Genomic DNA, 15,705 nt, shown 5'->3' with positions numbered 1-15,705 from the left:
AGCTGCGTGTGGAAGGGGGCTGCTGAGAGGAGCTGCAGAGCTGTAGCAGACAGCTAGACAAGGCAGACAGTGTGAGAAAGCTAGTGTGAGTAAGCTGTTGATGAGAGTTACTACTGAATAAAGCATCTTTCACCTGCCTGTGCCCCCCCCCCCCGAGTGTTCTTTCTGCTCATCCACCCACTCCCTTCAGACCTCAACATGACAATTGGTATAGTCGTGAACATGACAGTATATTATTTGGTGATTTTTTTGTCTTTGCCCAGCAAAAAGTTTGTCCTGCATAAATTAGCAGTGTCTTATAAAAATAGTGTGCTAAGCTGGGTCCTCCCAGAACCAGACATCAAGACAAAATTAAGTGTTATTAGGGGAAATACCTGTCAGAGAAAATGTCAGCTGAGAGAATCATCAGACCACAGTGCAAGGATAGAGGGAAGAAGTTTGGATGGAAGCAACCTAGGCCACCTTGCAGTGTAAGTTGAGTTAAGCAAGGAAGGCCTGACACTAAATTCAGCTGTCGGAGGAGTCCTTAGTCTCCCAGAAACTTTGTCTGTCTTAGTATCCCTTATGCACTCAGTTATTAGCTGGAAACAGTTCATGGGATACTGAGCCACAGCAAAAACACAACAAAGCACTTGGGAATAGAACAGCTAGGGGCCCTGGTCAAATAATTTTACAGTATTTATGGTCCACAAGGTATATTCTTATGGCTGTTAAAAATGAGATTACTTTTTTTGTGTGTTTAAAAAGAAGTCTATTTCGAGGCAGTCAATCTGATTCAGGGGTTCCAAAAAAGTTGGGAAGACAAATTTCTTCTAGGCTTTCTTTTCACCATTGCTGTGATATGGCATTTGTCTTCATGCTTGTACAATTATTGATCCATCTCCTTTCTGAATAGGAAGGAAAAAGAGAAAGCAACAAGCATGAAGATGAAACATTTATGTGAGGAAAGCAAGATTTTGTGAGAAATTTCCACCAAATATTGTGCATATTTTTATTGGCAAAATTATATTACTTGGTCATTCCTATTTGCTAGGGTGTCTGAGAAATGTGCTTCCAGGCCCACCAGCATTAAATTTTACAGGAACTGACAAGAGCTTGTCTCTTTGAGCTGAGGAAGAGACGTTTTCTTTTCCATTTGTGGCTAAAATTCTTCTATTTACTCTTCTTACTGGATACTAAAAGCCATTTTCACTTTTCCAAAGATTCAATATGAGCTCCACATCTTCACCTCCACCCTCTTTCTTCTTCAGTCGCTCCTCTTCCTCTGCTGTTGAAAAGAACAAGACTCAAACAGAAACCCTTTTTCCTCCTCAACACCTCTGACACTCACAGTCCTCACCCATGATGTTGTTTACAACCTAATTTTCATTATTTATTGGAAAATGTTACTTCAAAAGAATGCCTACAAGGTATCTCAAAACATAAAATGGATAAAAGTAATTTTAATTAGCATTTAGCAATTGATACATTCAGATTTATGTTCATCAAATTGTTTGGAGGAGGTATATTTCACCTATCTGTTCATAGGAATCTGGAGATTGTTTCAAGCTATACATTATATCTCTTTATCTAGTCATGCCATATATATGTCATATATAGTTCTAAATGTTTTTCCATGGCTATTTTAATCAAAACAAAGAAATTTTGGAATTCAAATAAAACAATATGAACATTTTAAAATAAAAATTTAGAATTTTAGAATTCAAATTTGAGGAGTTTTAGAATTCAAATAAAACAATAAATTTTTATAACTAAAACCAAACTTTTTTAATTTCATGACTTTATACTACTAATTAATGTAAATAAAAATTTACTGTTCAGATAGTCTCTAATTTACTGTTTTTAAAATCATGTACACATGCTGTTTCTTTTAGAATTCAAAACAATAAAGTTATTTTATAATTCAAAACCAAGTCTTTTTTATTTTCATGACTTTATGCTATTATTAGTGCAAATGATATAAAGTTACAGCTTTAATAATCTACAAGTTATTCAACTTTTAAAAGTAAGTATCATGTTGTTTCTTTATTAGATTTATTTATTTATTTATTTATCTATTTTTGAGACAGAGTCTCCCTCTGTTACACAGGCTGGAGTTCAATGGTGCAATCTCGGCTCACTGCAACCTCCGCTTCCCAGGTTCAAGTGATTCTCCTGCCTCAGCATCCCGAGTAGTTGGGATTACAGGCACCCACCACCACATCAGGCTAATTTTTTGTAATTTTAGTAGAGACGGGGTTTCACTATGTTGGCCAGGCTGGTCTCGAACTCCTGACCTTAGGTGATCCACCTGCCTTGGCCTCTCAAAGTGCTGGGATTACAGGCGTGAGCCACTGTGTCCAGCCCTAGATTTATTAATTTAAAAAACATTTTAATTACAGTGAATCAACTAATGGAAACTTAAACACAGTTTGAAAGCACTGGCCTAACCTATCATTAGTTCTTTTCATCTTAGAAAAGATAGACCACTGTAGACACTATTGATTATCTGAATGCTGGTAATTCAAGTGTAGGACCCACATGATGAAGCCAGTGAAGACTTCTCTAGGTGGCCCCAACCTTTCTGCAAATAAACTGAGCATCAGGGAGGGCTGGACAGTGCAAAAAGAAAAGAAAAAGAAAATCTCATGAGATAAACAGATAAACAGGCTTAACAGATAAACAGGTTGAGCAAGAATGCTACAAGTCTATTCGCCGTACTTAATATTTATTTATTTATTTATTTTAAATATATAATATAGAAAACACTTAATAGCATGAATTATGTATGCTTTTAGTGAGTAATCGCATTGACATTTGAGAGGGAAACATTTCTTTACTGGTCCAAACTAGACAAAGCTACTGATTCAAGGTACCATTTATTACCTAGGTAAAGAAGACTGCCTCTTATGGAAATTGCCAGCAACAAACAAATTGTCCCTGTTCTGATTTGCCTCTTATTTTGGTATTTCCCCCATTCTTCTTAGCTCCACAGCTGTTTTTAACAGCAGTTGTTCTAAGCGCTGTTACTCAAGATAACCCAGCTTTTTCCAATCTACCCAGCTCAATTTGGTTGAAGTTCATATGCCAGGTTGCTGGGCATTGTGTTAATGGAATATGATGGTTATTGCCCTGCAAAGGATGGGGACTGAGAAAGGAAGTCACATGACAACATTCTAACAAAATAGAAAAAAACATAAAACATGACTAAATCAAGAGATACAGCAGTTCTGAGAAAGCCATATCACATCACAGTGAAGCAATGAAGAATAACCCATGAAGTCCAAGTTAGGGAGGTACCAGAGGGTGGAGGGGGAAGGTATGGACATGAGAATTCCTCTATGAGGAAAAGCAAAGAGCCTATTTATGTGATTTAGGGTAGAACTAACTTAAACAACAAGCCTGGAAAATTGGAGATGATGATGTGAAATGGTTTGAAATCCATATTAAGGAGACTGAAGATCCTTCAAAGAACTTTGAGCAGAGCAGTTTATATTGCCAAATTGAAAGTTAGGAATTGTCCTCACAGTGGACTTTTAGGAAGTGTGGAAGGTGGTGAGACTGCAGAAGGAGAGACCAGTTAGGAAGATGTTGAAATAAAGAAACCCTGGACCATATTTTTCTCTTTGGTTTCTGATGACAGTGAGGACAAATACGCAGCTGTGACCCAGGTCTTATCACAGGGTCTGATCCAGAAATTCCTTCACTATGTGTACAAGGAATGGGCAAGTGAGTGAATAAAAGGAAAGAGACAGATTCGAGGGATTGCACAGCAAGAACTTCACACAGTATGGATATTTCCATGGAGAAGCAGAAGTCAGAAAAATTTTGAAGTTTTGAACTCAGGTGCTAGGCACTTAGAAGTTTCTGACTTGACGTCTATTGAAAGGATAAAGGAATTCATAAATATGGAAATATTTGTTGAATGAATGAGTGAGCAGCTGTGCAGAAGAACTGATGGAGGAACCTTGAGCTAAGATGGACAAAAGCACATGTTTTACAGTTAGAAAAGTATCTGCTTTCCACATCTGGCTTGGCCCCTTAGCATGAGTGTAGTTTTAGGAAAGTAATTTTACTCCTAGGAGGTCTAGCTTCCTTTGTAAATGGCAGGTAATCACACATAGATTTATGTAAAAATGAAATTGGATAAGTAAAGTGATTCCTTTTTTAGTGTGCCCCACAGATTAAAAATATGGTGGTGATTATTCCTATGAGGTCCTTTTGCTAGCATTTTGAATGGGAATATCTCATCCTATATGGTTTCAAGTGCAGATTTAAATTAAAGGGAGAAAATTTTAGCCAGGAGATAATTTTGGAAGCCATTTCCTTCAATAGATGGACATTTCTGAGGGAATAAAGATCCAGATGAGAATAGAAAAGGAAGTCTCATCAAAAGTAAGACACAAGTGGCCTCATTGGGAAGTCCAAAAGGTCTTCTCCCTGGGTGAGCAGAGAATAGTGTGGACACTGCAGCCCTTGGACACTGTATCCTTCTGATCACTGAGGTAAAAAGGGGGCCGGGTGTGGTGGCTCATGCCTGTAATCCTAGTGCTTTGGGAAGCTGAGGTGGGAGGATCATTTGAGGCCATGAGTTTGAGATAAGCCTGGGCAATATAGTGAGACTTCTTTCTCTATAAAAAGTAAAATAAAATTAAATTTAAAAATTAAATAAAAGAGACCCCTCTCACATTGGCTTATTTGGCTAGGACTCTAAAACCAGTGTTTCTGTACCAGGACAAATGAAAATACAAAAAGCAGTGCTTTGGGGACAGAAAGCATTAAGCATGATTCTGCCCCCACAATCTGGAGGAACATTTTATTGCAGTCAGCTCCTAGTGCATTCCATGATCAAAAGTGTCATGCTTCAGCCAAAGAAAGAGCAAATTTGTCTTCATGAGGCAAAATAAATCAATTGTCCTCTTTGCTACATAAAGAGAACATGAAATACTCTGTGCTAGTAGTAATCAGTGGGACATATTTAGGAAAAAGAAAAGGAGGTCTGAATGTCTATCTGATTTTAACAAAACTGAAAATATTTGGGGGGAAAGAGGAAATGTAGAGAATGGACTAGAAATTTGGCCAGTTACAGAACAATGTGCTTGAGGCTGACAGATTGTCTTTGATCTTCTGAATCATCCATGGAAGGAAGTAAAGGACATCCTTTGAGGAGCTCCCTGTTTGGGGGCGGATGAAGATTAATTCAATTTTTTCACTTAAGAAAATAACCCTGAGTTTCTAACTATGCCAGGCACTGCTCTAGAAGCAAGGAAATAGAGCAGTGATCAAATGGAAACAGCTCCCCTACACTCCTTACCCCTACCAAATAATCCTGGTCTCAATGAATATATTGGGGAAGGAGCAAGGTCAATAAACAAAACATGCAATGTCAGATCTTCATAAGCTTTTCTTTAAAAAAAATAGAGGAGTGGCTGAGTGTGGTGGCTCACGCCTGTAATCCCAGCACTTTAGAAGGCCAAGGCGGGTGGATCATGAAGTCAAGAGTTCAAGACCAGCCTGGCCAACAAGGTGAAACCCCGTCTCTACTAAAAATACAAAAATTAACTGGTGTGGTGGTGGGCACCTGTCATACCAGCTACAAGGGAGGCTGAGGCAGGAGAATGGCTTGAACCCGGGAGGCGGAGGTTGCAGTGGGCTGAGATTGCCCCACTGCACTCCAGCCTGGGTGACAGACCAAGACTCTGTCTCAAAAAAAAAAAAAAAAAAAAGAGGAGTAAAAATGAAAAAAAAAATAAAGCAGTAAGTAGGGACAGAAAATGCAAGTGGGGTGGCTCAATTACAAGACAGTTGAAGTAGGTCTCACTGACAATAAGAGTTCCCAGTCTTAGGGCCTTTGTGTTTCTCATTAGAAAGGGTGAAGGCTCCATTCCAGGAAAGGAACAGGAATTCTGCCTACCCACAGCTGCTCTGGCCCAGCTCAGCCCCTGGGCAACTGTGCTGAGAGACTCATGCATGACATTTCAAAGTGACAGACCAACTCACCTTCATGGAAGATGCAGCCATGGTGGAATTCCCAGTGTAGCAGGGAATTCCCAGGGAAGCAGGTTTGACCTCAGCTTTCTCAGTCAACAGTGCACAGAAGCACCTGCTGAGTAGTTTCAGCCACTCCACTTCCCTATAGGTAAGGGTGCCCAAATGGTGAGAACCATGGAAGGAACATGCAACTATTGGCCATGTGAGATAAAAGGATGCAAAAAGAATTCATGTTTATATATTTATGTACACAGATGAGTACACAGACACTAATAGGAGTGATTGCTTATAGTTGGTAGGGTAACTGGGTGGTTTGGGACTGAGGTGGAAACAGGATTGTTTATTGTATTTTTTAATATATGTGGTTATTAAACCCTAGAAGTGCAGTACCTATTCAAAACCACGAAACAAACAATTCCAGTTATTTTTTTTTTTGGAGCTTGAGGGCTATCCCTTGTTTGCTCCTTGGGCTCGTGGCTTTCTTTCGTTTCTTTTTCTTTCTCTTAGTTTTGTCACTTGAATCTTTACTACTGTCACCAGATTCCTTGCATTTACTCTTAGCTGATCAGAAAAGGAAGAACATGACTTTTAATGGACATTTTTTCCCTAAAGTTATTTCTTTTGTTATCTTGGAGATCTGCATACACACGCAGAGCTATAAAGAACAGTCAGATGCCCGTCTAGTACACATCAGGCATGCTTCAATAACTACCTACATTTTCAAACTTGTTTCTTTTACTATTATTTTGATATAATTATAGATTCAAGGAAGTTGCAAAGTTTGTACAGAGACCCCATGTTTACCTGCATGGTCACATTTTACATAACTAAAGTACAATAACAAAACCAGGAAATTGCCATTACTAGTGTGTATATGTATAGTTCTAAGCCGTTTAATAATGTTTAGATTTGTACAAACTCCATTATGATCAATATAAATAATTATTCCATCACCACAAAAATCTCCCTTCTGATATCCCTTTATATTTACGTCCACCTCCTAACCTCGTATCCTCCCTATACCCATCATTTATAATCCCCGGCAATCGCTAATCTGTTTTACATCACTGCAATTTTGTCTGTATATGTATACAAATGTTGTCATGTATTTGTACGTGTATATGAAATATATAAACACATACATATATAAAATCATACAGTATGTGAACTTCAGAGATTTTTTTCCACTCAGCATGAGGGAAGAGAGAGACCCTCTCATATTGTTTTATATTATTTTATACCCAGTACCTGTTTTAAGAAAAAACAACAAGGAAGTAAAACCAAAGACAGGCAGCCCGGCGCCAGGCCCAAAACCAGGCCTGGGCCTGCCTGGCCTAAACCCAGTAGTTAAAAATCAACTCATAACTTAGAAACCAATGTTATTCATAGATTCCAGACATTGTATAGAAGAACATTGTGAAACTCCCTGCCCTGTTCTGTTTCTCTCTGACCACCGGTGCATGCAGCCCCTGTCACGTACTGCCTGATTGCTCAAATCAGTCACAACCCTTTCATGTGAAAGCTTTAGTGTTGTGAGCCCTTAAAAGGGACAGAAATTGTGCATTCAGGGAGCTCGGATTTTAAGGCAGTAGCTTGCCGATGCTCCCAGCTGAATAAAACCCTTCCTTCTACTACTCGGTGTCTGAGAGGTTTTATCTGAGGCTCGTCCTGCTACAAGCATAATGCCCTCAAGATCTATCTAAATTGTTGAATGTATCAATGTTTAATTTTTTATGGCTGAATAGTACTCCATTGTACAAATTGCCACATTATGTTTTACCACTCACCTATTAAGAGACATTATGATTGTTTTCAGTTTTGGCTATTCCAAATAAAACTGCTGTGAACATTCCTGCACGAGTTTTGAATAACGCTGCAATAAACATGAGAATGCAGATATCTCTTCAGTATACTGATTTCATTTCCTTTGACTGTATACCCAATAGTGGGATTGCTAGATCATATGATAGTTCTATTTTTAATTTTTTGTGTAATCTCCATACTGTTTTCTGAAACGGCTGTACTAATTTTCATTCCACAGAGAGTGTACAAGATTTCTCTTTTCTCCATATTCTCTCCAACACTTGTTATCTTCTGTCTTTTTTATAACAGCTGTTCTAACAAGTGTGAGGTAGTTTTTCATTATGGTTTTAATTTGCCTTTCCCTCATGATTAGTGATGTTGAGCATTTTTTCACGTACCTGTTGTCCATTTGTATGTCTTCTTTTGAGAAATGTCTATTCAGGTTCTTTGCCTACTTTTTAATTAGGTTCTTGTTTTCTTAACATTGAGTTGTTCGAGTTCCTTATATATTTTGTACATTAACCCCTTATCAGATGTATGGTTTGCAAATATATTCTCCCATTCCATAGATTGTTTCTTTATTATTCCCTTGGCTGTGCAGAAGCTTTTTGATTTAACATAATCATACGTTTTAATTTTTGCTTTTGTTTGCCTGTGATTTTGAAGTCATGTCCAAAAAATCATTGCTCAGATCCATGTCATGGAGCTTTCCCCCTGTTTTCTTCTAGTAGTTTTACAGCTTCAGGTCTTACATTTAAGCTTTTTCACTCATTTTGAGTTGATTTTTGTATACGGTGTGAGATGAGGGTCTAATTTCATTCTTCTGCATGTAGGTTTAGGGCAAATTGTGCCATCTTGGCTCACTGCAACCTCCGCCTCTCGGGTTCAAGCAATTATCCTGCCTCATCCCCCCTGAGTAGGTGAGATTACATGCGCACACCACCACGCCAGGCTAATTTTTTGTGTTTTTAGTAGAGATAGGGTTTCACCATGTTGGCTGGGATGGTCTCAAACTCCTGACCTCAAGTGATTCGCTTGCCTCGGCTTCTCAAAGTGCTGGGATTACAGGTAAGAGCCACTGCACCCAGCTGCAAACATCTTTAATTCTAATGTTTGTCTTTCACAACAACTCTTCCAGTGGCAGAGTAAAAGAAAACTATTTGGTAAATGTTACCAAAATTACTAGTGTATTTATTCTTTGGATCCAGAGTTTCTCTTCTAGGCCTTGATTCTACAGATATACTTGCTCTTGTGAGAATTACAACAGGAAAATTACTACACATTGAAGCATTTGTTATTTTATAAACACAATTAGATATCTAGCAAAATGAGCTAGTTTTCTGGCTATTTGAAAAATAGTCATTAAGTATCCATTTATACAAAGGAATTTTACAGAATATATGAAAAAATAAGGAAGTTCAAAATGTACTGATACGGAATTGAAACGGGAAAAGTTCCCCTGGTCTCTTTGCAGGGCGTTCAACAGGGAGAGTGGCTCGCTTCTTCAAACCTCTAGGGGAGCATACAGATGGACAAGCTTGGGCCTCCAACCCCACGGCAGCATCTAGAGGTAGATGTTTACAGCTCCTGAAGCCCCAGTGGGCGTGCGCCCTGTGCTCTTTTAGTTTTGCTGCCTATAAGCGGCTTATGTTAACCAGCTCAATTAGATCCTCTTCTTTGTCGTAAGGACAGAGGGCTTTCTGTATCCCGGGTTCTTGCCTTGGTGTATTGGAAGAATCAGATTACACCTGGGCTTAGAGAATGAGTGCAAGGTTTTATTGAGTGGAGGTAGTTTTCAGCAGATGAGGGATGGAGTGGAAAGGTTTTCCCCTGGATTCCTGCCGCTCAGCAGCCCCGGCTCTCCTCCAACCGCCCTGACCAAACTCCAAGTCGTTCGGCCGGTCGGTCGATGGCCTGCAGGCTTGCCGGTACCTGTCAGCGTGCTCTCGACACCCTCTCCACATCCAGGTGCTTGTGTGTTCCTCTGCCAATGTGTTTGTCTTGACGTCCAGCCGCGTGTGTGTCTGCCTGCTAGAGTCTTGGGGTTTTTATAGGCACAGGATAGGGGCGTGGCGGGCCAGGGTGGTCCTGGGAAAGGCAACATTTGGGTGCAAAAGCAGGAGTGCCGAGTGCCTGTCCTCACCTAGGTCTGTGGGCACAGGCCCGGGGGTGGAGCCCTTGAGAGGGACCCACCCGTCTCCTCCCAGCACTTCCTTGCCCCCCTTCGGTATCAGAATGATATCTAAGGTGTAAATTTAATTAACAAAAGAGAAGCAATGCAAGAGTAATAGTATTCTAAAAATGTGGAATATATATTTAAGTTGTTATTATATCCATGAACAATCTCTGGAGGAATGCAAAAGAAACTCTTAAGTGTTGGCAGAAACTAAGAAAATAGAGTCATAGTACATAGAATTTCATAAATCTCATTTTGTATATTTCTGTAGTGTCTTATTTATTAAACATATGATTGCATTGTTTTTCAAAATGAATAAGTTTGAAAACAATTTGTGGCTTCTTTCTAGACATCATTCATTAATGTCTTTGCACTTCTCACAATGCTATCAGTGTCTTTATCATCAAAGAGCTACAAAATAATCTGGTTCTACATTAATTTAAATGAATAATTCAGTTATTAATTTCTTAAAATGGAATCATTAAATACACATATTTGGTGAGAATACATAGTTCTGGCAATCAGATATCTGATGAGGCCATTTTGAAAAATACTTGATACTATTTTACTTTTTACACGTTTATAGCACAAAATGTTAAAATTGATAGACAGGCTTTCCCCCCATGTTTTAGAGTCCCTTTACCATGTCTCTGTTGTAGCCCTTGTAAACATTTGGGTTTTTCACCCCTCTACTTAAAAATGGTGAACGCTTACTTCTTTTCTGGTTTGGCTTTTTGGCTGTCTACATGGCTTTTACATAATTTATGTTATTATATTACACTGTAATTTAGGAACTTCTCTTTCTCATATCACTGTGGCTTACATGAAGGCAAGGAGCATGCTATCTATCTCAGTCTCATAACTTTTCTGTGGCAGCCTTTTCCTAGTATCTAACATAGAAAGTAAGACAAAGTAAGTGTTGGTATTTGACTCAAAAGGAAAAAAATATAAGGATCTGGAAATAATAGTAAGAATGACATATTAAAACTGAATCATACGCCTGTAATCCCAGCACTTTGGGAGGCCGAGGCGGGTGGATCACCTGAGGTCAGGAATTTGAGACCAGCCTGGCCAAGATGGTGAAACCCTGTCTCTACTAAAAATGAAAAAATTAGCGAGGCGCCTGTAATCCCAGCTACTTGGGAGGCTGAGGCAGAGAATTGCTTGAACCTGGGAGGCAGAGGTTGCAGTGAGCTGAGATGGCACCACTACACTCCAGCCTGGGTGACAGAGTGAGACTGCATCTCAAAACAACAACAACAACAAAAACTGAATCATGGGCCAGATGGTGGCTCACACCTGTAATCCCAGCTTTTGAGAGGCCAAGGTGGGAGAAATGCTTGAGCCCAGGAGTTCAAGACCAGCCTGGGCAATTTTGTGAGACCCTCATCTCTACCAAAAAAAAAAAAAAAAAAAAAATTAAATTAAATTAACTAGGCATGATGGTATGCGCCTATAATCCCAGTTACTTGGGAGGCTCAGGTGGAAGGATCCCTTGAGCCCAGGAGTTCAAAGCTGCAGTAAGCAATGATCATGCCACTGCACTCCAGCCTGGGTGACAGAGACCTTGTCTCTAAAAAATAAAAATACTGAAGAAAATATTATTGAGTATTAAGAATAGACATGAGGGCTGGGCGCCGTGGCTCACGCCTATAATCCCAACACTTTGGGAGGCCGAGGCGGGCGGATCATGAGGTCAGGAGATCGAGACCATCCTGGCTAACACGGTGAAACCCTGTCTCTACTAAAAAAATACAAAAAGTTAGCTGGGCTTGGTGGCGGGCGCCTGTAGTCCCAGCTACTCAGGAGGCTGAGGCAGGAGAATGGCGTGAACCCGGGAGGCGGAGCTTGCAGTGAGCCGAGATTGCGCCACTGCACTCCAGCCTGGGCGGCAGAGCGAGACTCTATCTCAAAAAAAAAAAAAAAAAGAAAATAGGAGATGTGTAACTAGTGATGTAATGCCCAACCTTGTTTTTACTAACCTTTTTAGACTCTCCCTTTTCCTTTAATCACCTAGCCTTGTTTCCACCTGAATTGACTCTCCCTTAGCTAAGAGAGCCAGACTCACTCCATCTTGGCTCTTTCACTGGCAGCCCCTTCCTCAAGGACTTAACTTGTGCAAGCTGACTCCCAGCACACCCAAGAATGCAATTAACTGATAAGATACTGTGGCAAGCTATATCCGGAATTCCTAGGAATTCATCTGATTGATAACGCCCAAAGCCCCGAGTCTGTCACCTTGTAATAGTCTTAAAGCCCCTGCACCTGGAACTGTTTACTTTCCTGTAACCATTTATCCTTTTAACTTTTTGCCTACTTTATTTCTGTAAAATTCTTTTAACTAGATCCCCCTCCCCTTTCTAAACCAAAGTATAAAAGAAAATCTAGCCCCTTCTTCAGGGCCTAGAGAATTTTGAGCATTAGCCGTCTCTTGGCCGCCGGCTAAATAACCGGACTCTTAATTCGTCTCAAAGTGTGGCGTTTTCTCTAACTCGCTCAGGTACAACAGTGGCACATAACTAAGGATACCCTGGAATTTGAGTTGTCCAAATAAGTGCTATTCTGTACTTCTCTCTGAAAAGTCAAAATTGAGTTGAGAAAACTTAAATCTACAATCTTAATCAGAAAATAATTAAAAATAAACATAATTAAAATTGTTGCACATCTAAAGGAGTGGGAAGCAGGGAATAGAAACTGGAAATACTGAATTTTAGAACACATTGATGTGGCTAATAACCACATGCACTGCCTTTGACTTCCATGTATTTTGTTACCAGTAAAATAGAACTAGAAAGATGAACTCTACATCTATTGCCTGTAAAATCTTTATTATTATTATTATTATTATTATTATTATTATTATTTTCCGAGATGGAGTCTCGCTCTGTTGCCAAGGCTGGAATACATTGGCACGATCTTGGCTCACTGCAAGCTCCGCCTCCTGGGTTCACGCCATTCTCCTGCCATAGCGTCCAGAGCAGCTGCAACTACAGGTGCCCGCCACCTCGCCCGGCTATTTTTTTGTGTTTTTAGTAGAGACGGAGTTTCACCGTGTTAGCCAGGATGGTCCTGATCGCCTGACCTCGTGATCCCCCCGCCTCGGCCTCCCGAAGTGCTGGGATTATAGGAATGAGCCACCGCGCCCGGCGCCTAAGATTTGACGAGAAAAAGGAGCTGAAAGCTTTTATAAATTTGGTGACATAAACCTCCCAATTCAGTAAGTTCAGAGAACGCTAAGCAGGATAAACCCAGAAATATCCATACCGAGACACATTATAAATTTCTGAAAATTAAACCAAAGGAAAAAAACCTCTAAAGTGGCCTGGGACTACTTGTAAGAAAACAAAGTTTCTCAAATAACATTGGATTTTTCATAAGAAATCATGAAGCTGAGAGAAAACTGCATTCATCGCCTGACCTTATTAAATCCCTACGCTAGTGTTTCAGTGACATTTCAGGTTTCCATTGGTTCATGTCAATTCAGAGCCACTGTTCACTAACATCTGAAAAGTTCAATTGAGTTTCCTTCCCCACTACATGGCATCCTAGTGTGTTCAGAAGTGGTGGGTTCTTGGTCTCACTGACTTCAAGAATGAAGCCACAGACCCTCGCAGTGAGCAGTTCTTAAAGGTGACAGGTCTGGAGTTTGTTCCTTCATGATGTCCGGATGTGCTCGTAGTCTTCCTAGCTCAGGATGGAAGCTGCAAACCTTCGCGTGAGTGTTACAGCTTTTAAGGCGGCGCATCTGGAGTTGTTCCTTTCTCCGGGTAGGTTCGTGGTTTCGCTGGCTTCAAGAGTGAAGCTGCAGACTTTCGCGGTGAGCATTACAGCTCACAAACGCAGTGTGGACCCAAAGAATGAGCAGCAGCAAAATTCAGCACAAAGAGTAAAACAGAACAAAGCTTCCACAGCCTAAACAGGGAACCCAACAGGTTGCCGCGGCTGGCTCGGGCAGCCTGCTTTCATTTTCTTATCTGGCCCCACCCACATCCTGCTGATTGGTCCATTTTACAGAGAGCTGATTGGTCCGTTTTGACAGGGTGTTGATTGGTGCGTTTACAATCCCTGAGCTAGACACAAAAGTTCTCCACGTCCCCACTAGATTAGCTAGGTACAGAGTGTGGACACAAAGGTTCTCCAAGTCCCCACCAGAGTAGCTAGATACAGAGTATCGATGGGTGCATTCACAAACCCCGAGCTAGACACAGGGTGCTGATTGGGGTGTGTACAAACCTTGAGCTAGATACAGAGTGCCGATTGGTGTATTTACAATCCCTTAGCTAGACATAAAGTTCTCCAAGTCCCCACCAGACTCAGGAGCCCAGCTGGCTTTACCCAGTGGATCCCGCACTGGGGCCGCAGGTGGAGCTGCCTGCCAGTCCTGCGCCGTGCACCCGCACTCCTCAGCGCTTGGGTGGTCGATGGGACTGGGTGCCCGTGGAGTAGGGGGCGGCGCTCGTCGGGGAGGCTTGGAGCCCACGGAGTGCGGGGGAGGGTCAGGCATGGCGGGCTGCAGGTCCCGAGCCCTGCCCCACAGGAAGGCAGCTAAGGCCTGGTGAGAAATTGAGCACAGCAGCTGCTGGCCCAGGTGCTAAGCCCCTCACTGCCTGGGGCCGGCGGGCTGGCGGGTCGCTCCAAGTGCGGGGCCTGCCGAGCCCACGCCCACCCGGAACTCGTGCTGGCCCGCAAGCACCACGCGCAGCCCTGGTTCCTACCCGCGCCTCTCCCTCCACACCTCCCCGCAAGCTGAGGGAGCCGGCTCTGGCCTTGGCCAGCCCAGAAAGGGGCTCCCACAGTGCAGCGGCGGGCTGAAGGGCTCCTCAAGCCCAGCCAGGGTGGGCGCCAAGGCCGACGAGGCACCGAGAGTGAGCGAGGGCTGTGAGGGCTGCCAGCAGGCTGTCACCTCTCACTAGTAAATGACTGCAGGTCCCTTTGTGGAAGGGTGGAAGATAGATTAACAGTACACATTTTTGGCAGTGTAGCTGGGGTGGGGACCTGGCTTCCCCTTCATTCAAGAGGTTACACATCTGTGAACTGATTTAAATCACAGGAATTGTGATAAATGTGGGAATTGTTTGATTATCTGTTCTAGTGTTTCAAATCAGATTTCTGTTTACTAGATTAGGGATGTTCCCTTTCTACAGATCCAACAAAACTTTAGTAGATTTGGTCCACAGACACCATGATCAACTGGTGAGTGCCAAAGATCTCTCTGGGTCAGACTATTCTGTTTACTGATCATTATGGTAACCATATTCACCTTGTCTTTGGTGGTTAAGTGCCTCCTCTTGGCCCCTGTCACCTTAGGATCAAATCATCCCATTGTGTTTAGGGATTCCATCTAAGAGGGAAGATCCACCACAGAGCTCTGGTGCTGGGGCTATCCTCATGAATTCGTCACAGCTGTAGTCTCCTGGTTTGGATGAGCAGATTTTACACCATAAATTATCTTTAGCATTTCAATCACTCATAGACTTTGGAGAAGTCCCTCTACAGTATCCTAAGTAGGTTCTGAAGTTTTGGCTTCATTTATTGCAGGCCAATTTGGGTCCCTTTTTCAGACAACTAGCCTAGCAAAATTTAGAGCCATTCCTAACCCCTCAAGCTAAATTGAATTCATAATCTCTGCTTAATGTTCCCGTATCAATAAATCTGACCTGGTCCAACTTTATATTTTAGCTTGATCCTACACCTTTAAAATCCACTTCCATCTAGCTGGAATCACAAACAATCTGCAATCAGCTGGAATCACCATC

General features: G+C 41.6%; 2 annotated features.

Moving 5' to 3' along the window:
- Positions 7,206 to 7,425: an enhancer, noted in NCBI's record as "active region_24258". NCBI's record gives its function as "activates an Ori minimal core promoter by ATAC-STARR-seq in GM12878 lymphoblastoid cells {active_cell/tissue: GM12878}" and the evidence as "EXISTENCE:reporter gene assay evidence [ECO:0000049][PMID:35858748]".
- Positions 7,496 to 7,545: an enhancer, noted in NCBI's record as "active region_24257". NCBI's record gives its function as "activates an Ori minimal core promoter by ATAC-STARR-seq in GM12878 lymphoblastoid cells {active_cell/tissue: GM12878}" and the evidence as "EXISTENCE:reporter gene assay evidence [ECO:0000049][PMID:35858748]".

Source organism: Homo sapiens, chromosome 6 (genome assembly GCF_000001405.40).
Source record: "Homo sapiens chromosome 6, GRCh38.p14 Primary Assembly".
Lineage (NCBI taxonomy): Eukaryota > Metazoa > Chordata > Mammalia > Primates > Hominidae > Homo > Homo sapiens.
This window is presented reverse-complemented; position numbering and strand designations above follow the sequence as displayed.